The 22,697-nt window shown below is 46.3% G+C and overlaps 1 protein-coding gene and 1 pseudogene across 24 annotated transcripts in view, besides 4 other annotated features; both read right to left on the bottom strand.

Moving 5' to 3' along the window:
• Positions 1 to 18,510, bottom strand: part of NF2 (NF2, moesin-ezrin-radixin like (MERLIN) tumor suppressor) — a 95,045-nt gene extending 76,535 nt beyond the window's left edge. For 23 of the 24 annotated variants that reach the window (NR_176267.1, NM_001407056.1, NM_001407053.1 and 20 more), the window contains exon 1: positions 17,954 to 18,433. Coding sequence is in view for 19 of the 24 variants with exons in the window: in NM_181832.3 (NP_861970.1) it covers positions 17,954 to 18,067 (114 nt within the window). In the remaining 5 variants the exon portion in view is untranslated. Of the gene's footprint in view, positions 1 to 17,953 lie in introns of all 24 variants that reach the window. The other variant, NM_016418.5, reaches the window with a different exon arrangement.
• Positions 7,603 to 8,103: an enhancer, noted in NCBI's record as "H3K4me1 hESC enhancer chr22:30009952-30010452 (GRCh37/hg19 assembly coordinates)". NCBI's record gives its function as "activates a minimal SCP1, AML or CMV promoter by ChIP-STARR-seq in naive H9 embryonic stem cells {active_cell/tissue: H9 hESC(naive)}" and the evidence as "EXISTENCE:reporter gene assay evidence [ECO:0000049][PMID:30033119]".
• Positions 12,372 to 13,205, bottom strand: RPEP4 (ribulose-5-phosphate-3-epimerase pseudogene 4; annotated as a pseudogene).
• Positions 15,189 to 15,710: an enhancer, noted in NCBI's record as "NANOG-H3K27ac hESC enhancer chr22:30002345-30002866 (GRCh37/hg19 assembly coordinates)". NCBI's record gives its function as "activates a minimal SCP1, AML or CMV promoter by ChIP-STARR-seq in naive H9 embryonic stem cells {active_cell/tissue: H9 hESC(naive)}" and the evidence as "EXISTENCE:reporter gene assay evidence [ECO:0000049][PMID:30033119]".
• Positions 18,088 to 18,667: a silencer, noted in NCBI's record as "silent region_13595". NCBI's record gives its function as "represses an Ori minimal core promoter by ATAC-STARR-seq in GM12878 lymphoblastoid cells {active_cell/tissue: GM12878}" and the evidence as "EXISTENCE:reporter gene assay evidence [ECO:0000049][PMID:35858748]".
• Positions 18,918 to 19,047: an enhancer, noted in NCBI's record as "active region_18817". NCBI's record gives its function as "activates an Ori minimal core promoter by ATAC-STARR-seq in GM12878 lymphoblastoid cells {active_cell/tissue: GM12878}" and the evidence as "EXISTENCE:reporter gene assay evidence [ECO:0000049][PMID:35858748]".

Here is a 22,697-nt window from a genome sequence, read left to right as displayed (position 1 = left end):
TTTCTCTCCTACTTCTCTTTTACGCTTCCTATTTGGGTAGCATAGGGTAGTGGAAAGAGGGCTGGCCTGAAAGACAGATGACCTGGCTTCAAATCTCAGTCCCATCACTTAGAAGCTATGTGGTGACTTTGGACACAAAGAAGAGGAAACCCTTGAGCAGAGCCTAGAAGGAGAATGAGTTCAGTTCTGCCAAGCAACAAATGAGAATGGCATTCCAGGCAAAGAGAACAGCCTATGCAAAGATGTGGCAGTGTGAAGGAGGGACCAGGATAATAGGCTCAGAGCAAGAGGGTGCGTGAGGAAGTGGAGGAGAGGCTGAGAAAGGGAGCAAGCTAACGACAGGCACTGAACTTATTTCCTTTTTATTTTTTTAATTTATTTTATTTATTTATTTTTTGAGACAAGGTCTCACTCTGTCACCCAGGCTGGAGTGCAGTGGTGCAATCAGGAAGCTTATGGCAACCTCGACCTCCCAGGCTCATGTGATCCTCCCACCTCAGCCTCCCGAGATGCTAGGACCACAGGTGCACACCACCACAACCGGCTAATTTTTGTATTTTTTGTAGAGATAGGGTTTCGCCATGTTGCCCAGGCTGTTATTTCTTTAGGTAACAACCATTATATATAGCACTTATCTTGTGTTAGGTACTATTCTACGTACTTTACCAGTAATTACTCAAATTTAATTCTTGTAACACTATGCAGGAAGAATTAATTACATTCACCATTTTACAGTTAGGGAACAGAGGCATGTGAGGGGGTTAAGGAGCTTTAAGGTTGCAAAGCTGGTTAGAGGCAGAGCCAGGAATCAAACTCTGAAGTCTATGCTTGTAATCTCTAGGCTATGCTGCCTCAGCGGCCCCAACAAGGAAACTGAAGCTTGAGTTAAGATTTGCTCAACTTACATGTCAGCCTCAATGTGAGGTTCAAATAAGCAACTGCAGGCTTTACTGGTCGATATTAAGTTAAAGGGTGTGCCCATCTATTCTCCCTATTCTCTCACTACCTACCTGTCCCTGTCCTATTCTGCCTCTTTCAGAATAGATAGTGGCTGCACTAAGCCTTTAAGCATGCTATGTATCCTGTCTGAGCCTCTGTTTCCCCACTTAAAGATGAAGTCAGTTACAGAACCTAGGTCCAAAGTAGTCCTTGATCACTGCTAGGAGGTGTTCCCTGCCTGGTCAACGTGGGCACCCAGTAAATCAGAGCTGCGTGTGGTGGTTCACACCTATAATCCTAGCACTTTGGGAGGCTGAGGCAGGAGGATCCCTTGAGCACAGGAGTTTGAGACCAGCCTGAGCAACCAACGTAGGGAGACCCCCATCTCTATTTTTTTTTTTGGAGTCGGAGTCTCTCCCTGTCATCCAGGCTGGAGTGCAGTGGCTCAATCTCAGGCAACCTCCACCTCAGGCAATTATCCTGCCTCAGCCTCCCAAGTAGCTGGAATTACAGGCACATGCCATTGCCCCCGGCTAATTTTTCTATTTTTAGTAGAGACGAGTTTTTCCCATGTTGGCCAGGCTGGTCTTGAACTCCTGACCTCAGGGATCCACCTGCCTCAGCCTCCCAAAGTGCTGGGATTACAGGAATGAGCCACCATGCCCGGCCAACCCTGTCTCTATTATTTAAAAAACAAATAAATAAAAGAGACAGAGTCTCACTCTGTCACCCAGGCTTCATGCAGTGGTACGAACATAGCTCACTGCAGCCTCGAACTCCTGGGCTCAAGTGATCCTCTTGTCTCAGCCTACCAAGTAGTTAGGACTACAGGTGCGCACAACCACGCCTAATTATTGTCTTTTTTTTGAGACAGAGTCTCGCTCTTGTCGCCCAGGCTGGAGTGCAGTGACGCGATCTCAGCTCACTGCAACCCTCACCTCCCAGGTTCAAGCAATTCTCCTGCCTCAACCTCCGGAGTAGCTGGGACTACAGGCGCCCACTACCACGCCTGGCTAATTTTTGTGTTTTCAGTAGAGACAGGATTTCACCATGTGCCCAAACTGGTCTCGAACTCCTGGCCTCAAGTGATCTGGCCACCCCGGCCTCCCACTGGGATTACAGGTGTCAGCCACTGTGCCTAGCCTATTTTATAATATCTCTTGAATGAATAAATGAGTCCCTGTTATATCAAATGAGGTAGTGTGCATTTAAAGCATTTAGCATGGTACCTAGCACAAAGTAACTGCTAGTCCCTAGCCCTTTGTCCCACACAAAGGCAGAATGGGGTCCAGTGGAGGGCAGCACTAGCCAGCATCTGTTTCTTCGCACCCCTTCATCAGCACGCACGCACTCATCACTCACCCCTGCCTGTCCTAGACCTGAGTAGTGGCACCCATGCCATCCATAGGCACTACTTAAAACCCATGGGAGAGGTCGGGCACGGTGGCTCATGCCTGTAATCCCAGCACTTTGGGAGGCCGAGCCAGGCAGATCATGAGGTCAGGAGTTCAAGACCAGCCTGACCAACATGGTAAGACCCCATCTCTACTAAAAATACAAAAATTAGCCTGGCATGATGGCAGGCACCTGTAATTCCAGCTACTCAGGAGGTTGAGGCAGGAGAATTGCTTGAACCCAGGAGACAGAGGTTGAAGTGAGCTGAGATCACGCCACTGCACTCCAGCCTGGGCAACAGAGCGAGACTCCATCTCAAAACAAACAAACAAACAAACAAACAAAAAAAACCCATGGGAGAGCACAGCGGTAAAAAGGTAGATAACAGGCCAGGCGTAGTGGCTCGTGCCTGTAATCCCAGCACTTTGGGAGGCCAAGGCAGGTGGATCACCTGAGGTCAGGAGTTCGAGACCAGCATGACCAACATGGAGAAACCCTGTCTTTACTAAAAATCTAAAAATTAGCAGGGCGTGTTGGCACATGCCTGTATTCCCAGCTATTCGGGAGGCTGAGGCTGGAGAATCACTTGAACCCAGGAGGCAGAGGTTTTGGTGAGCTGAGATCATGCACTCCAGTCTGGGCAACAAGAGTGAAACTCCATCTCAAAAAAAAAAAGGTAGATAACAGTCTTACTTCTGAAACAGGAATAGAAGTTTCTTGTTGCACTAATATAGAGTATAGAACTATTACCCTGTACAACTACACTGCCCTCCAGAGTTTACATCCTTGAAGGGGATGGTTTGCCTGGTCCTAGGGAGCCTAGGATTTAAGATTTTACTGAAAATGCCAGAATTGTTCTATCTGTCTTCCCCTTTAGAAAGTTCCTTCTGTTATGGACAACTTACGTCCACTTGTATGCTGGAATGATCTGCAATGTTGGTATTTAATACAATCATAATCTCACTTAGGTATGTGAAAACATTTAGAATGCCAAACAACAGGAGAAGGAGGCTTTGTTTTCAATATAAGATAGTATTAGGATCTCTTACAACTTCCTATTTGGCTTTTCTTACTGATAGATTGAATTATTAGAGTAAAATTCCAGCCTAGATAAGAAATAACATAGCCGTTTAGCCTCCTGGCAAATTACACTCAGCACCCACTTTCTCAAAATGACAAACAACAAATCTTTCAAGTGGAAAAATCTTCCAAAGCATCCAGCCAATTGAGCAATGCAGCAAGTAGTGCAGGAGATTTTTCCCCCTATCTCTGCAGTAAAAAGAAAAAAAGTCTGAACTTATTAGCATAAGGTAACATGACTCATATGTTAAATGCCACCGGTTCTGAAATTGAGTCCTTCTTGAAAAGCCACCTACATTTGACCTCAATAAAGTCAAGAATTCTACAAGTACTCTCTCTCTCCTTTTTTTTCAAAATGCATCTGCCATCTCCTTGCATCAGCACCTTGCTCATTAATGGACAACATAAAAAGCAGGCAGGAGAATAAAACTAATCACTTACCTGAGCCCTATCATCATAAATCAAACTATGATTACTTTCAACAGAATATGTGAACATGGTTTACAAACAGGTTTTTCCACTGGAAATCTGAGGTTCAGTGAGGTGTAATGGCTTGATAAATCACAACAGGGCAGTGCCCATGGTAACCAGAGCCTCCTACTTTAGGCCAATTATAGTCCCTCCTATATCTTCCTTTCTGCCAGGGACTATGCATTCCATGAATCCTTATAAGAACTCTGCAGGGTCAGCATTATTAGTCTCATTTTACCAATGAGAAAATAAGGTCCAGAGAGCTATGTAACTTGTCCAAAGTAGAAGTATTTTAGCTAGAATTCAAGCCCAGGTCTGTCTTCTTTCAAAGCCGATGCACTTTCTACTACTGCTCTGCTATTCAAAGTGTGGTCCTTGGGCCGGTGGCACAGGTATCATCACCTGAGAGTTTGTTATTAATACAAAATTCTCACTTCCATCCCAGAACTACTGAATCAGAACCTACATTTTTCCAAGATTCCCCAGGTCATTTATGTAAAATTAAAGTTTGGCAAGCTTTGCACTATACCATCCTGCCTCTCTGAATGTCACTACTATTATCCTTTTCTATAGATCAGTGGTTCTCAATGTGGTCATGGAGGTTGGGTAGGGAGAAAGAGGAGATTGGAGGGTGTCCTCCCTACCCCAGGGACACTTGACAATGTCTGAAGACATTTTTGGTTGTCACAACAACTGGGATGGGGTGGGGGAATGCTACTGGCATCTAGTAGGTAGAGGCCAGAGATCCTGCTAAACATCCTAGAACATACAAGACAGCTCCCCACAACAAAGAATCATCCAGCCAAAATGTCAATAGTGCCAGGGTTGAAAAACCTTGCTCTAGCTGATAATACTGTCCAACATCTTTGGGTCTGGAATCTACTTAATGAAGAAAAAAGAGCTTTTCCTGGCAAAATTGCGGCTGAAAAATGTCATACAAAATCCCTTTCCTGGATGGACACAGTGGTTCACACCTGTAATCCCAGCACTTTGGGAGACCAAGGAGGGCGGATCACCTGAAGTCAGGAGTTCAAGATCAGCCTGGCCAACATGGTGAAAGCCCATCTCTACTAAAAATACAAAAATTAGCCGGGCATGGTGGCACATGCCTGTAATCCCAGCTACTTGGGAGGCTGAGGCAGAAGAATCGCTTGAGCCTGGGTGACAGAGGTTGCAGTGAGCTGAGATCACACCATTGCTTTCCAACCTGGGCGACAGAGCGAGACTCCGTCTCAAAAAAAAAAACCCCCAAAAAACTAAAATCCCTTTCCTTATAGGCTAGTCTCTCTTACCCTCTCACAACATCTAACATCTATCAAATAGTAACTTAGATCAGAGATCAGCAAACTATGGCCCACAGGACAAATCCAACCCACCACCTATTTTTGTGTGGCCTGAGAACTAAGAATGATTTTTACTTTTTTTTTTTTTTTTTCTTGAGACGGAGTTTCACTCTTGTTGCCCAGGCTGGAGTGCAACGGCGTGATCTCAGCTCACCACAACCTCCGCCTTCCAGGTTCAAGTGATTCTCCTGCCTCAGCCTCCCGAGTAGCTGGGATTACAGGCGTGTGCCATCACGCCCAGCTAATTTTTCTATTTTCAGTAGAGGCAGGGTTTTACATATTGGCCAGGCTGGTATGAAACTCCTGACCTCGTCATCCGTCCACCTCGGCCTCCCGAAGTGCTGGGATTACATGCGTGAGCCACAGTGCCCAGCATGTTACATTTTTTAATGTTTATTTTCTTGTGAAAATTATGTGAAATTCAAATTTCTGTGTCCATAAAGTTTTCTTGGAACACAGTCATGCCCATTGTTTACATTTTGCCTAAGGTTTTTTTTAAACATCTTGATATATAATTCATATACCCTAAAATTCACCCATTTAAAGTGTATAATTCAGTAGTTTTTAGTACATTCAGTGTGTACAACCATCACCAGTCAGTTTTAGAGTATTTTCATCACTTCATAAATAAAACCTTGTATATTTCAGCTATCACACCCTCTACCCCACCCATTTTTCCCAGCCCTGAACAACCACTGATCTACTTTGTCTCTGTAGATATGCCTATCCTAGATTTGCATATGAATGGAATCATATGTGTTCTTTTGCGGCTGGTTTCTTTCACATAGCATAGTGTTTTCAAGGTCCATCCATGTTGAAGCACGTGCTGGTACTTCATTCTATTTTATTGCCAAGTAATTCCATAGTAAGGATAGACCACATTTTGTTTATCCATTCATCAGCTGATGTATATTTGAACTGTTTCTACCTTCTGGCTATTATGAATAATACTACTATAAACATTCACATATAAGTTTTTCTCGTAAAGCTATGTTTTCATTTCTCTTGAGAAGACATCTGTAAGTTGAATTGTGGGGTTATATGGTAACTCTGTGTTTAACTGTTTGAGGAACTGCCACCATGTTTTTCTTTTTATCTTTTTTGAGACTGGGTCTCACTCTGTCGCCCAGCCTGGAGTATAGCACCACAATCACAGCTAACTGCAACCTCAAAATTCTGGGCTCAAGGAATCCTACCACCTTGGCCTCTCAAGTAGCTGTGACTACAGAGGAACGCTACCACACCCAGCTAATTGTCTTCCTTTTTTTGAGACAGGGTCTCGCTTTGATTACCAGGCTGGAGGTGCAGTGGTGCAGTCATGCCTCACTATAGCCTCTCCCAGGCTCAAGTGATCCTCCCACCTCAACCTCCCAAGTAACTAAGACTACAGGTGCAAGCCACCACGCCTGGCTAATTTTTAAATTTTTTGTAGAGAAAAGGTCTCACTCTGTTGCCCAGGCTGGTCTCAAAATTCTGGCTTCAAGTGATCCTCCCACCTTGGTCTCCCAAAGTGCAGGAATTACATGTATGACCCACCATGCCTGGCTAACTAGTTTGCTTTTCAAACTGGCTGCACCATTTTACGGTCTTACCAGCAGTGTAAAAGGGTTCACATTTCTCCACATTTGTTTTTTGTTTTTGTTTTTGTTTTTTCCAGACAGAGTCTTGCTTTGTTGCCCAGGTTGGAGTGCAGTAGCACAATCTGAGCTCACTGCAACCTCCACCTCCCGAGTTCAAGTGATTCTCATGTCTCAGCCTCCAGAGTAGATGGCACTACAAGAGCATGCCACCACGGCTGGCTAATTTTTGTATTTTTAGTAGAGATGGGGTTTTGCTATGTTGGCCAAGGTAGTCTTGAACTCCTGTCCTCAAGCAGTCCACCTGCCTCAGCCTCCCAAAGTGCTAGGATTACAGGCATGAGCCACCACACCCAGCCTAATTTCTGTATTTTTAATATAGACAGGGTTTCACCATGTTGGCCAGACTGGTCTCAAACTCCTGGCCTCAAGTGATCCATCCACCTCAACATCCTAAAGTGCTCAGATTACTGGGGTGAGCCACCTCAACTGGCCCTTTGATCCATTTTAAGCTTTTTTTTGGGTGGGGGATGGAGACTCACCCTGTCACCCAGGCTAGAGTGCAATGGCGTGATCTCAGCTCACCCCTGGGTTCAAGCGATTCTCCTGCCTCAGCCTCCCAAGTAGCTGTGATTACAGGTGCCCGCCACCATGCCCAGCTAATTTTTTTTTTTTTTTTTAGATGGAGTCTCCCTCTGTCGCCCAGGCCGGAGTGCAGTAGTGCGATCTCGGCTTACTGCAAGCTCCACCTCCTGGATTCACGCCATTCTCCTGCCTCAGCCTCCTAAGTAGCTGGGACTACAGGCGCCCGCCACCACGCCCAGCTAATTTTGTTTTTGTATTTTTAGTACAGACAGGGTTTCACCATGTTAGCCAGGATGGTCTTGATCTCCTGACCTCGTGAGCCACCCACCTCGGCCTCCCGAAGTGCTGGGATTACAGGTGTTGAGCCACCGCACCCGGCCTACTTTTTGTATTTTTAGTAGAGATGGGGTTTCACCATGTTGGCCAGCCTCGTCTTGAACTCCTGACCTCATGATCCACCTGCCTTGGCCTCCCAAAGTGCTGGGATTACAGGTGTGAGCCACCGTGCCCAGCCATGAGTTAATTTTTGTATGTAGTGTGAGGTAAGGGTTTAATTTCTTCTTTTTTTTGCATGTGGCTATCCAGTTGTCTCAGCTCCATTTGTTGAAAGGACTATTCCGGCCGGGTGCGGTGGCTCACACCTGTAATCCCAGCACTTTGGGAGGCTGAGGCAGGTGGATCACGAGGTCAGGAGTTCGAGACTAGCCTGGCCAACATAGTGGAACCCTATCTCTACTAAAAATACAAAAATTAGCCGGGCGTTGTGACAGGCGCCTGTAGTCCAGGTACTCAGGAGGCTGAGGCAGGAAAATCACTTGAACCCAGGAGGCGGAGGTTGCAGTGAGCCAAGATTGCACCACTGCACTCCAGCCTAGATGACAGAGCGAGACTCCATCTCAAAAAAAAAAAGAAAAAAGAAAAGAAAGGACTATTCCTTCTCACAGTCTGTGGCATGTAGCAAGAAAAGACAAGACAAGACAGTTCTCCCCCACTGAATGGTCTTTGCACCCTTGTCAAGAATCAGGTGACCATGAACTCTCAACTCTATTCCACTGGGTTTATTTCTGGACTCTCAATTCTATGCCACTGATCTACACATTTATCCTTATACCAGTACCACACTGTCTTTTTATTTTTATTTTTTTGAAATGGAATCTCGCTCTGTCCCCCAGGCTGGAGTGCAATAGCACGATCTCGACTCACTGCAACCTCCACCTCCTGGGTTCAAGGGATTCTTGTGCCTCAGCCCTCCCAAGCAGCTTGGACTACAAGTGTGCACCCCCACGCCCGGTTAATTTTTGTATTTTTGGTAGAGACAAGATTTCGCCATGTTGCCCAGGCTGGTCTCGAACTCCTGTCCTCAAGTGATCTGCCTGCCTTGGCCTCCCAAAGTGTTGGGATTATAGGCATAAGCCACGGTGCCTGGTGACGTTGTCTTGATTAGTTGTTTTATAGTATGTCTTGAAATCACAAAGCGTGAGTCTTTCTGCTTTGTTCTTTTTCAAGATTTAGCTATTGTGGGTCCCTTGCGATTCCATAGGAATTTATGAATTGACTTGTCAATTTCTTTTTTTTTTTTGAGATGGAGTTTCGCTCTTGTTGCCCAAGCTGGAGTGCAGTGGCGCGTGATCTCAGCTCACCGCAAGCTCCGCCTCCCAGGTTCAAGCGATTCCCTGCCTCAGCCTCCCGAGTACCTGGGATTACAGGTATGTGCCACCACACCCGGCTAATTTTGTAGTTTTAGTAGAGACAGGGTTTCTCCATGTTGGCCAGGCTGGTCTTGAACTCCTGACCTCAGGTGATCCGCCTGCCTCGGCCTCCCAAAGTGCTGGGATTACAGGCATGAGCCACTACGCCTGGAGACTTGTCAATTTCTACAATGAAATAAACTGGGATTCTGACAGGGATTATGTCAAACGTGTAGATCAATTTCCAAAATACTGCCAATTTGACAACGTTATGTCTTATGATCCATGAACAAGAGCTATTTTCTATTTATTTATTTATTTATATCTTCTTTCTTTTAAAAATGTTTTACAGGCCAGGCACGGTGGCTCACACCTGTAATCCCAGCACTTTGAGGGGCCAACATGGGAGGTTGCTTGAGGTCAGGTTCAAGACCAGCCTGGGTAACACAGGGAGACTCTGTCTCTACAAGAAATTAAAAAACAAACAAACAAAAAAAAAAAGCTAGGGATGATCGCGCATGCCTGTGGTCTGAGCTGCTTGGGAGGCTGATATAGGAGGATCACTTAAGCCTGGAAGGTCTAGGCTGCACTGAGATATGATTGCACCACTGCACTTGTTCTCACTTCAGTGCAAGTCCGAGAAAAAAAAAAATCAATTAATTAAATATTTTAAAAGGCCAGGCTGGGCGCACTAGCTCACGCCTGTAATCCCAGGACTTTCAGAGGCTGAGGCGGGTGGATCACCTGAGGTCAGGAGTTCGAGACCAGCCTGGCCAACATGGTGAAACCCCCTCTATACTAAAAATACAAAAATTAGCCAGGCATGGTGGTGCACACCTGTAGCTCCAGCTACTCCGGAGGCTGAGGCAGGAGAATCGCTTTAACCTGGGAGGCAGAGGTTGCAGTGAGCCGAGATCGCGCCACCGCATTCCAGCCTGGACGACAGAGTGAGACTCCGTTTCAAAAAAAATTAATTTAAAAAACAAAACCAAAAATGTTTTACAGCTTTTAGAGTATAAGTTTTATACTTTCTTTTACTAAACTGTCAGAGGATGGAAAAAAAGATACCTCTTTTGTTATAAGTATTTTTATTTTTTAGGTTATTGTAAATGGAATTTTCTTAATTTCCTTTTCAGATTGTTCATTCCAAGTGGATACATTTACAACTAAGTTTTGTGTAATGATCTTGTATCCTATAACCTTACTAAACTAATAATTTATTAGTTCCAATACTTTGGTAGTGGATTCCTCAGGGTCTATATGCAAGATCATGTCATCTGCAGAGATGATCTTACTTGTTCCCTTCCAACATAGATGTATTTTATTGCATTTTCTTGCCTAATTGCCCTGGCTAGAACCTCCAGTACAATGCTGAATAGCAGTAGTGAAAGTAGACTTATCTCTCTTTTTCCTAATCTTAAGGATAAGCATACAGTCTTTCACTATTTTGTTTGTTTGTTTGTTTGTTTTGAGCTCTGTCGCCCAGCCTATTGTGTGCAGTAGTGCTATCTCAGCTCACTGCAACCTCTGCCTCCCAGGTTCAAGCAATCCTCCCACCTCAGCCTCCCAAGTAGCTACAATTATAGGTATGCACCACCACACCTGGCTAATTTTTTTTTGTATTTGTAGTAGAGACAGGGTTTCACCATGTTGGCCAGGCTGTTCTTGAACTCCTGACCTCAAGTGATCCCTCCAACCTTGGCCTCCTAAAGTGTTAGGATTACAGGCGTGAGCCACTGTGCCTGGCCTCAGTCTCACTATTATGAAGTTAGCTGTGGGTTTTTCATAACTGCTGTGTATCAGGTTGAGGAACTGCTCTTCTCTTCTTAGTTTATTTAGTGTTTTTATCATGAAAAACATGCTGAATTTTGTCAAATGCTTTTTCTGTGTCTACTGAGATGACAAGGTGATTTTTGTTTTTTATTCTATTGATATAATGCATTACATTATTTACACTAATTCATTTTTGGATGTTAAACCAACCTTGCACTCCTGGAATAAATCCTGCTTGTTTATGGTATATAATTATTTTTATATGTTACTGGATTCAGTTTGCTAGTATTTTTGTTGAGGATTTTTGCTTCCACATTTGTAAGATATATTTGTCTATGGTTTTCTTTTCTTGTAATGTCTTTTCCTGGTTTTTGGCAACAGGGTAATACCAGTCTCATAAAATTCGTTTGTAAGTATTTTCTCCTCTTTTTCATTTTTGAAGACTTTGTGAAGAACTGTATTAATTTTTCTTGAAATGTTTGATAGAATTCAGTGGTGAAGTTATCAGGACCTCTAGTAGGTACAGGCCTGGGCTTTGCTTTGCTTTTCTTTCTTCTTTTTTTTTTTTTTTGAGATGGAGTCTCACTTTGTCACCCAGGCTGGAGTGCAGTGGCGCAATCTCAGCTCACTGCAACCTCCAACTTCCCGGGTTCAAGCGATTCTCCTGCCTCAGCCTCTCGAGTAGCTGGGACTACAGGCGCACTCCACCATGCTCGGCTAATTTTTGTATTTTTAGTAGAGATGGGGTTTCACCATATTAGACAGGCTGGTCTTGAACTCCTGACCTCGTGATCTGCCCACCTTGGCTTCCCAAAGTGCTGGGATTACAGGCATGAGCCACTGCACCCAGCCTCTTTTCTTTTTTTTAAGAGACAGGGTCTCACTCTGTCACCCTGGCTGAAGCACTGTGGCACAATCATAGCTCACTGCCTCCTCAACCTCCTGGGATCAAGTGATCCTCACACCTTAACCTCCTGAGTAGCTGGGACTCCAGGCTCACACCACCACGCCTAGCTGAGTTTAGATATAGTATGTATATTTTAGAGTTGGGGTCTCTCTATGTTGCCCAGGTTGGTCTCAAGCTCCTGGCCTCAAAGGATCCTCCTGCCTTGACCTCCCAAAGTGCTGAGATTACAGGCAACAGCCACTGTGCCCAGGTCTCTCTCTCTCTCTCTCTCTCTAATTATTTATTTATTTTTTAAGGGTATACTATCCTACCCAAACTTATATTTTTAAATTCCATTAGACTCATATTACCAAGCATATAAACAAATCACACATAACACGAAATAGAAAAAAACATTAAGACTTCCTTTGCTTTTGGAAAACAACTGAGAAACAACAAAATTCTTTTCAGAAATACAGAAAAAAATTGTTTTTATAGTGTAGCTAATATGCCCTCCTTAGACATTAAGACACTTTTCTGTTTGTACCCTTAATGCAGCCATATTTTTACTCTTTATAAAAATCAAGGCTCTCAATAAAAACAGTATCTCACTCACTAATCATTAAATTGCATCACTGAAAATGTAGTTATACACACCAATTTCTAACTTCTTAGAATACTCTGCACAATCAATTATAATCACTGAAACGAATAACTGCTCAAAAACGCAGAATGGCTTCAACTACACTATGATTTGGTAGTCAATATTCCTGTTTTCCAGTAAAAAGGAGATTTCATAAACAAACATTGGGCTCCTTAAGGTTTCATCAATCAAGAGAATCTTTCTGAGCAGCTTCTGAGCAAATGTTTCTTAACAGGCTGATCACAGATCTAGGGTCTTCACTCCTCACCATAGCACTGCCAGACACAATCATGTTAGCTTCGCCTCTGCACACCTATGGACAGTGTCAGGATCTATTCCACCAGCGACCTCTATAGCCAAAGATGGGAACTGGATCCTCAACCAGTGAACCTTTAACATCATATCTTCCATGAATTTATGCCCTCCAAACCCTGGTTCCACTGTCATAACCAAGGTCATACCTAGTTGATTAGCCCATGGTGCCAAATACTGAACTGAGGTTCCTGGTTTTATGGCAAGGCCAACCTTCATCCCATTCTCCTGAATGTCTTTAATCAAAGCCCCTGGGTTCTCAGTTTCCTCGAGATGAAAGATGTACTGATTGGCTCCTCTTATAGCCATTGGCTTTACCCACTGTTCTGGCTTGGACACCATCACATGCATGTTCATCCATTACATTCCGGTGGAGATAATCGACCCCAGAGTCTAGCATCCAGAGGCACTGGGCCCCTAAATTGGCCAGGTAGCATTGAGGATGGACAGGCCAATCTTGCAGCCCGATGCCATACTACTGGTTCCCAAGGGCAAGTTACCCCACGAGTCCCCTCAATTACTAATTTAATATCTTTACTTGTTATAGGTCTATTCAGATAGTGTCTCTTCTTGGGTCAATTTTGGTGGTTTATATCTTTCTAGGAGTTTGTCCATTTTATTGAAGTTATCTAATTACTTGGCATTCAACTGCCATTTTACTTTTTTTTGTATGTGTTTCACATCTTTTTTTTTTTTTTCAGGGCAGGGATGGAGTCTCGCTCTGTCACCCAGGTTGGAGGGCAGTGGCACGATCTCTGCTCACTACAACCTCCGCCTCCCGGGTTCAAGCAATTCTCCCGCCTCAACCTCCCAAGTAGCTGGGGTTACAGGCACCCGCCATCATGCCCAACTAAATTTTTGTATTTTTGTAGAGATGGGGTTTCACCATGTTGGCCAGGCTGGTCTTGAACTCCTGACCTCAGGTGATCCACCCACCTCAGCCTCCCAGAGTACTCCCAAAGCCACTGTGCGGTGGCTGAGGCAGGAGAATCGCTTGAACCAGGGAGGCAGAGGTTGCAGTGAGCCGAGATTGCCCCACTGCACTCCAGCCTAGGCAACAGAGCGAGACTCTGTCTCAAAAAGAAAAAAAAAATTAACGAATTCTTTCTTCACCCAGTTCAAATCTGTTATTGAGTCCTGAGTCCCTCTAGTTAATTTTTAAATTTGTTATTGTACTTTTTTTTTTTTTTTTTTTTTTTTTGAGACAGAGTCTTGCTCTGTTGCCCAGGCTGGTGTGCAGTGGCTCGATCTTGGCTCACTGCAACCTCCGCCTCCCAGGTTCAAGGAATTCTCCTGCCTCAGCCTCCCGCGTAGCTGGGACTACAGGTGCCGGCCACCACGCCTGGCTAATTTTTGTATTTTTAGCAGAGACGGGGTTTTACCATGTTGGTCAGGCTGGTCTCGAACTCCCGACCTCAGGTGATCCGCCCGCCTCAGCCTCCCAAAGTGCTGGGATTACAGGTGTGAGCCACCGCGCCCAGCTGTTATTGTACTTTCAACTCCAGAATTTTCATTTGATTCTTTTTTTATAATTTCTATATCTTTATGGATATTCTTTAATTGATGCAACAGTGTCATACCATCCTTTACTTCTTTGTCATCATATTTTCCTTTAGTATTGTGAATATATATAGTACTGTGAATATATATATAGGCCAGTTTGAAGCCTTTTTCATTAATTTGGCCCCTTGTCTCACAGGCAGTTGCTGCTGCCAGCTTTTTTCCAGTGTATGTGTCATATTTTCCTGTTTCTTTGTACGTCTCACAATTTCTTGTTGGAAACTGGACATTTTAGATAATATACTGTAGCAACTCTGGGGATTGGTACCCCCTCTCCAGGGCCAATTGTTATTTATTTGTTTAGCGACTGGCTGGATTATTTGAGTGAAATCCATTTCCCCTGAAAAGTGTTAAGGCCTATGATATTGCTCTTCAGGGAGGTGCAGCTTTGGGTATGCTCACAGTCACCCTGGGATGACAGTGGTTTTGGTAGGGTTCTCTTCTATTCTCTCCTTGACCACACCCAGCTATGAAGCTCCACTAATTGTGGCATATTGTTCTATTATTTTCAACAACACACTGAGGCATAACTTGCTCTTACTCTACAAACTGATACAATCAAATTGTGGCTGTTTGGAGGAAAGCATTTTTTTCCACCTCTGCCACATACCTTACTTTTCAAATTGTTTTTTATTGATTCATAATAGTTGTACACATGTTGGGGGTACCTGTAGTATTTCGATACATTAATATACAATGTATAATGATACAACCAGGACAGGAGGGACATCCACCACCTCAGAGGTCTGTGGTCAATGTTTTGTTTTGTGACAGGACAGAGCTTCACTGTCACCCAGGCTGGAGTGCAGTGGCGTGATCTTGGCTCACTGCAACTTCCACCTCCCAGTTCACGTGATTTTCCTGCTTCAGCCTCCCAAGTAGCTGGGATTACAAGTGTATGCCCCCATGCCCAGCTAATTTTTGTATTTTTAGTAGAGATGGGGTTCACCATATTGGTCAAGCTGGTCTCAAACTCCCGACCTCAGATGATCTGCCTGCCTCAGCCTCCCAAAGTGCTGGGATTACAGGCGTGAGCCACCATGCTGCGGTCAATGTTTGATCCTTCTTCTGATCCTAGAATGGCTTCTTCCAGCTGTCTTATTCCCCAATTCTTTCCAGCAAACCAGGAGGCCTACAGTCTAGGCTGCATCTCCATTAAATCCGCAGATCTCCCAGTTGCCTCTTACCAAAACCTTCACATCTCCAGATTGCCCTTAGGCATGAATTTCTCCACACTGTGTTGCAAATGAAGTCACTGCCATTGGAAAGAGATTAGGAGCTATCTGTTTTAGGGCCTGCTTCTCTCCTGAGGCAAAATCCCGGAGCCAAGGCTCTGGAGCTGTGGGGAAGGACCCTGGAAAGATTCTCTCTGAGAAATACCCTCACTCTAGGAACTGAGCACTTGGTGGAAGGAGGCAGGGGACCGCAATAACCTGAGGCTCAGCCTGCAAGAACTGGGGGATGAGCAATTGGGGCACCAGTAATTTCAGTATGTCATGTCCAAGGTACAGTCCTGTTCCACAAGTAGGGACTAGGTGGAAGAAGGGAGCTCCAACTTTTCGCAGGGCACAGTGGCTCACGCCTATAATCCCAACACTTTGGGAGGCCGAGGCAGGTGGATCACCTGAGGTAGGGAGTTCAAGACCAGCCTGACCAACATGGAGAAACCCTGCCTCTACTAAAAATACAAAATTAGCCAGACATGGTGGCGCAAGCCTGCAATCCCAGCTACTTGGGAGGCTGATGTGGGAGAATCGCTTGAACCCGGGAAGCAGAGGCTGCGGTGAGGCGAGATCACACCATTGCACTCCAGTTTGAGCAACAAGAGCAAAACTCCGTCTCAAAAGAAAAAAAAAGAGAGCTCCAACTTTCAATTGCACTCACACAGGTTTTAACCTCAGCAACAAGTAGCTCTAGGTAGGATGAGAAATGCTGATGTCCTGCTTTTCCTGGGAAGAAAGCATTTGATTGGGAGCTGGGGGAGCAGTGCCCGGTATTACAGTTTGCAATAGTCTGGAGTAGAAGCTCCACCTCACTAAGCTAGGAGTGAGTAAGGAGGGAATGATCTTGGTTCAAATACCATACCCTCTCATCTTTCTTACCGAATTTGTAGATTTTCTTGAATAGGTGTTTTTTCATTTGTTGTTTGCCCTCAGGACCATTGCCGGAGGGTTTAAATAGTTGATTTTAAAAAAAGAATTTTTGGGCCAGGCGTGGTGGCTGCATCTGTAATCCCATCACTTTGGGAGGCCAAGGCGAGTGGATTGCTTGAGCTCAGGAGTTCAAGATCAGCCTGGGCAACATGGCAAAACCCTGTCTTTACAAAAATTAGCTAGGTGAGGCTGGGCGGGGTGGCTCACATCTGTAATCGCACCACTTTCCCACCACTTTGGGAGGCCCAGGTCGGCTGGTCACGAGGTCAGGAGTTCGAGATCAGCCTGCCCAATATGGTGAAACCCTGTCTCTACTAAAAATAGAAAAATTAGCCAGACGAGGTGGCGCACGCCTGTAATCCCAGCTACCTGGAAGGCTGAAGCAGGAGAATCACTTGAACCTGGAAGTGGAGGTGGCAGTGAGACAAGATCGCGCCATTGCACTCTAGCCCGGTGCACTCTGGGTGACAGAGCGAGACTCCGTCTCAAAAAAAAAAAAAAAAAAAAAATTAGCCAGGTGTGGTGGCACACGCCTGTGGTCCCAGCTACTCGAGAGGCTGAGGCAGGAGGACTGATTGAGCCAGGGAGGTTGGTCAGGGTTGCAGTAAGCCATGATCACACTACTGCATGCCAGCCTCGGTGACAGAGTGAGATTCTGTCTCAAAACGAAACAAAACAAAAAAGAATTTTCACCAGTTTTACAGAGGAATGGGTTCCTTAAGCTGTCATGCTGGAAGCTGATCTTATCTAAGGCTGCTTTTGTGTTACAATGGTAGAGTTGAAGAGTTGAATAACTCCAACAGAGATTCTCTAGTCTACAAAGTTGAAAATATTTACTATGTGGTCCTGTACAGAAAAAGCATGCCAACCCTTGCTTACTGCTGCCAATGCTGCTGGTCCACAAACCACACTTTTAGCAGCAAGAACTTAAATTACTTGAGAAGCAGTACTGTACGGGCTGTGAGCTTGGTTCAAAACCCCACCTTGCCATTTACTAGATAAATGGGTTTGTTCTGAGGATTAAATGTGCAAATGTCTAGCACTTTGAAAATACTGAACAATTGATAGCTGTTATCATCATGTTGGAAACTATGTGGAAAGTAAGTATGAGATGTTATATCGTTCTTCAAAGGGTTTTTTTTCCCAGAATATGCAAGCTTTAGAAAAGGGAAACAAGTATTGGCTTTCCAATAAACAAGACGCAACTTCTAATACCTGGGTACATAACAATATTACCTAATGAAAGAATAAACTTTCAAGCTTTTAAGCGTAAGCCTAACTTAAGCCTGACACTGAAATCCTGAATTTTCTATCACAGGAGCATCCAGCTTCTTCCAATAACAATGAATGAAAATAACCTTCAGGAAATGCCAAAACCCAAAAGTCCTATGAAAAAAAGCAGCAATCATCTTTAACATGAGGTTTTGGGCCTAGTTGGCCCTTCCGGTTCTGCCCGTCTCTAGCTACACCCATAAGATGATATAAAGAGAACCTCTCGAGCTTCCACCTCGACTGTCACCGCAGCAGTCGGGGCTGCCGGCCGGTTACCTCGCAATTGAACTCCATCTCGGCGTCCATGGTGACGATCCTCACGGTGAACGTCTTGGGTTGCTTCCTCTTGAGAGAGCTGAAGCTCATGCGGGAAGCGATGGCCCCGGCCATGGCGCGGGGCTCAGGCCCGGGACCCTCGCGCCCCACGGCCTGCACTCTGAGCCCTTTAGCCCCCCTGGAGTTGCTGCACAGGCCTCAGGGCCACCATGGTGGCCGGCTGCCCGGCCCGGGAACGGTCTGGGCTGCGCGGGTCCCCAGCGGCCAGCATGGGCCGCGAGGACCCTGCCTGAGCGGAAAGGGGAGTTGGGGGACGGGCCCTGACGGCTGCAGGGAGGGCACAGGAGCCGGGACCTTCGGTGCAGGCGCGACCCGGCACTCCGGGATTCGGGCCGGAGATGCCGGGGACGCCTCGGGACGGGACCCCTAGACGGCAGCGGCCCAGACTCCGCGCGCCTCTCAGCGGCCGACTAGGGTCACGGGGCCGCGCTGCATCGGGCGCGTACGCGCGCGCGTGGCTGTCACCGTCCTCACTCCGCGCGCCCGCGGGAAGCGCACCCTCCCCACAGCCCGGGGCCTGCTCCCGGCCCCGCCCTCAGGTCGCCCAGACCACTACGCGCAGCGCAACCGAACCGGAGGCTGACGCATAGATGCTGCGATTGGCTGGGAAGGCCAAGGTAGGCAGGACTTTCCCGCTCCGTCCCGCCTCCTTTGGGGTGACTCCACCAATGGAAAGTTTCACTCTAACTGCAAAAAAAGCAGGCCTAGGCTCGGCGTTGAGTGGCTACAGTGGCAGTCACTCTGAATGCTTTTGTGCCTACTCTAACAAGACTGGTTGAGGCGGCGGACCTCTGCTGACCTTACCCGGGAAACCACTTAGAGGCTGGATCCGGGGCGAGGGGAATTGGGTCCTTCGTTGGCCCAGGGAGGGACTCTTCGGTTCAAGTAGGCTCCGAGTGTGGCGCCCCAGGGGACTGCGTTTCGGACACACGGCGAATATTCTTCTTTGGCAGTTAATCACATATACCGACCCCTATGAAACTTTAAAGACACTTGTGGAGGCCTGTTAGGTTTGCTGGCACTTTCCCGCCAGATCCCTCTGCTTCCCTTTAGAATTATTATTATTATTGTTATTATTATTATTATTAATTATTATTATTATTGGGACGGAGTTTCGCTCTTGTTGCCCAGGCTGGAGTGCAGTGGCGCGATCTCGGCTCACTGCAACCTCCGCCTCCCGGGTTCAAGCGATTTTCCGGCGTCAGCCTCCCGAGTAGCTGGGATTACAGGTATGCGTCACCACGCCCGGCTAATTTTGTATTTTTATTAGAGACGGGGTTTCTCCATGTTCGTCAGGCTGGTCTCGAACCTCAGGTGATCCGCCCGCCTCGGCCTCCCGAAGTGCTAGGATTACAGGCGTGAGCCACCACGCCCCGCCTAGAATTATTATTGGTTATACCTACCTCGTGAGGTTGTTGAATTTCAGCGCACTGAATACATATAAGGCTTTAGAGCTGAGCCTGGCATCCTATGAAATTGCTGAATTTGGGTTGAAAATGAAAGCATTCTTTATTTTATACTCTATGATGCCCATTTTTGAACCGTATTCATGTATTATTTATTTAGTGTCATCAAGGGTTCTAACGGGTGTAGGGGGGATAATTACACCTTTCTGTACTTAGATAATAAATTCTATTTTAAAATAGCTCTTAGTAGTCAAATAGGGACAATTTACTGTGTTTTTTCGTTTGTTTTTTGTTTTGAGACAGAGTTTCGCTCTTGTTGCCCAGGCTGGAGTACAATGGGGCGGTCTCGGCTCTCTGCAACCTCCGCCTCCCGGGTTCAAGCAATTCTCCTGCCTCAGCCTCCCCAGTAGTTGGGATTACAGGCACCCGCCACCACGCCCGGCTAATTTTTGTATTTTTAGTAGGGACGGGGTTTCACCATGTTAGCCAGGCTGGTCTCAAACTTCTGACCTCAGGTGATCTGCCCACCTTGGCCTCCCAAAGTGCTGGGATTACAGGCGTGAGCCACCGCGCCCGGTGTACTGAGTTTTAACAACAATAATCACCCCATAAATGTTAGCTAACATTAGCATCACCCCCCCAACTCCACAGGTGAAGATACTGAGAGATATGATAGAGCCACTCGCTGACTATAATGCAGATAGTGAAAGGCAAAGCTAGGACTCAAACCCAGGTCTGTCCCACCCAGAGCCTGCTGGTTAGCACTGTGCTGCCCTGCTTCCAAATTCTCCCTACTACAGCCTCAGGAAATGTGAATTACAGTTCCGGAGTACTCAGCAGACATTGTTGCTGTAACGGTATATTAATGGAATAAATCTAGTTCTTCTGCACGGACCCCTGCTGTGCCTGGTAGCACCGGCCAGGCCTCAGGAATGATTTGCTGCCACACCCAGTGAGGCTGCTGTGGGGACTTTATGTCCTGCCTTCTGCTAGCAAATTCTCCCCACCAAAACTGATTGCTCAGGGCAGTATGGGCTTGGCATGGGAGTGTCTTCATTATCATTGCTTCATTTCTTCCCCGCAGGTGGGAGAACCGGGCTGGGTTTTCTGGGCTCCCCACAGGGACAACAAATGGCTGCTGATAAAAATACGTGACACCGGGCCGGGCCCAGTGGCTCACGCCTGTAATCCCAGCACTTTGGGAGGCAGGCAGATCACAAGGTCAGGAGATCGAGACCATCCTGGCTAACACGGTGAAACCCTGTCTCTACTAAAAATACAAAAAATTAGCCGGGCGTGGTGGCGGGCGCCTGTAGTCCCAGCTACTCGGGAGGCGGAGGCAGGAGAATGACGTGAACCCGGGAGGCGGAGCTTGCAGTGAGCCGAGATGGCGCCACTGCACTCCAGCCTGGGCGAGAGTGCGAGACTCCGTCTCAAAAAAAAAGGAAAAAGAAAATGCGTGACACTGGGAACCCAGTGAGGAGTAGCAAAAGGAGGTGGATCAGCTAGCAGGGACTAAAAAGCGACACTGATGATTGGTAATAGCTCATTTTTATGAAAAGACTTGCCAGGTGCTAGGCACTGGGCTAATTGGCCCCAAATGCCAAATTTAATGTTCCTGGGAGGACATCCAGCTGGACATATGGGTTTGAATCCCAGAAGGGAGGTCAGGGCCAGGAATAAAAATCGATGTGATAGAATCTTTTGCTGGTATTAAAAGTGCCATTCACAGGTTGGACACAGTGGCTTACACCTGTAATCACAGCACTTTGGAAGACCAAGGTTGGAGGATCACATGAGGCCAGGAGTTCGAGACCATCCTGGGCAGCATAGTAAGACCCCATCTCTACAAAAAAAAGTAAAAATTTAGCCAGTGTGTGCCAGGTGTGGTGGCTCACACCTGTAATCCCAGCACTTTGGGAGGCGGAGGCAGGTGGATCACTTGAGATCAGGAGTTCAAGGCTAGCCTGGCCAACATGGTGAAACCCCGTCTCTACAAAAATACAAAAAAAATTAGCCGGGCGTGGTGGCGCACGCCTGTAATCCCAGCTACTCCAGAGGCTGAGAGAGGAAAATCGCTTGAACCCAGGAGGCAGAGGTTGCAGTGAGCTGAGACCATGCCATTGCACTCCAGCCTAGGTGACAGAACAAGACTTCATCTCAAAAAAAAAGAAAAAAAAATTAGCCTGTGTGGTGGAGTGTGCCTGCAGTCTCAGCTACTCAGTGGGGCTGAGGCGGGATGGTCACACCAGACCAGGAGTTGGAGTCCACATGAGCCATGATGGTGTTATTGCATACCAGCCTGGGTGACAGAGTGAGACCCCCAGCTCCCCAAAAAATGCCATTCATAAAGAATAAATACGGGCCGGGCGCGGTGGCTCACGCCTGTAATCCCAGCACTTTGGGAGGCAGAGGCGGGCGGATCATGAGGTCAGGAGATCGAGACCATCCTGGCTAACACAGTGAAACCCCGCCTCTACTAAAAATACAAAAAATTAGCCGGGCGTGGTGGCGGGCGCCTGTAGTCCCAGCTACTCGGGAGGCTGAGGCAGGAGAATGGCGTGAACCCGGGAGGTGGAGCTTGCAGTGAGCCGAGATCGCGCCACTGCACTCCAGCCTGGGCAACAGAGCGAGACTCCGTCTCAAAAAAAAAAAAAAAAAAAAAAGAATAAATACGGCCAGGCACAGTGGCTCACACTTCTAATCCCAGCAATTTGGGAGGCCGAGGTGGGTGGATCACCTGAGGTCAGGAGTTCAAGACCAGCCTGGACAACATGGTGAAACTCCCGTCTCTACTAAAAATACAAAAACTTAGCCTGGCTTGGTGCTGGGTGCCTGTAATCCCAGCTAGTCGGGAGGCTGAGGCAGGAGAATCTCTTAAACCCAGGAAGCAGAGGTTGCAGTGAGCCGAGATCGCGTCATTGCACTCTAGCCTGGGCAACAAGAGTGAAAATCCATCTCAAAACAAAAAATAATAATAAATAAATAAACACAGATGATAATTATATGCACCAGATAAGGGTCTGAGGGGGAATTCAGATAGAGCTTATTATGATCTGGCACACAGACCCCAGTTAATAAATATCTGTTGAATGAATGAGTGACGGTCATAAAGAAATACTTACGGTGTCAACTATGGTCTGGACAATATTAGTAGCTACCATATTTTAAATGCTTACCATATACAGCACTCTGCAAAGTGCTTTGCATGCTTTGTTTATCTTGATCTTCTTTTTTTTTTTTTTGACATGGAGTCTTGCACTGTAGCCCAAGCTATG

Source organism: Homo sapiens, chromosome 22 (genome assembly GCF_000001405.40).
Source record: "Homo sapiens chromosome 22, GRCh38.p14 Primary Assembly".
Taxonomy (NCBI): domain Eukaryota; kingdom Metazoa; phylum Chordata; class Mammalia; order Primates; family Hominidae; genus Homo; species Homo sapiens.
This window is presented reverse-complemented; position numbering and strand designations above follow the sequence as displayed.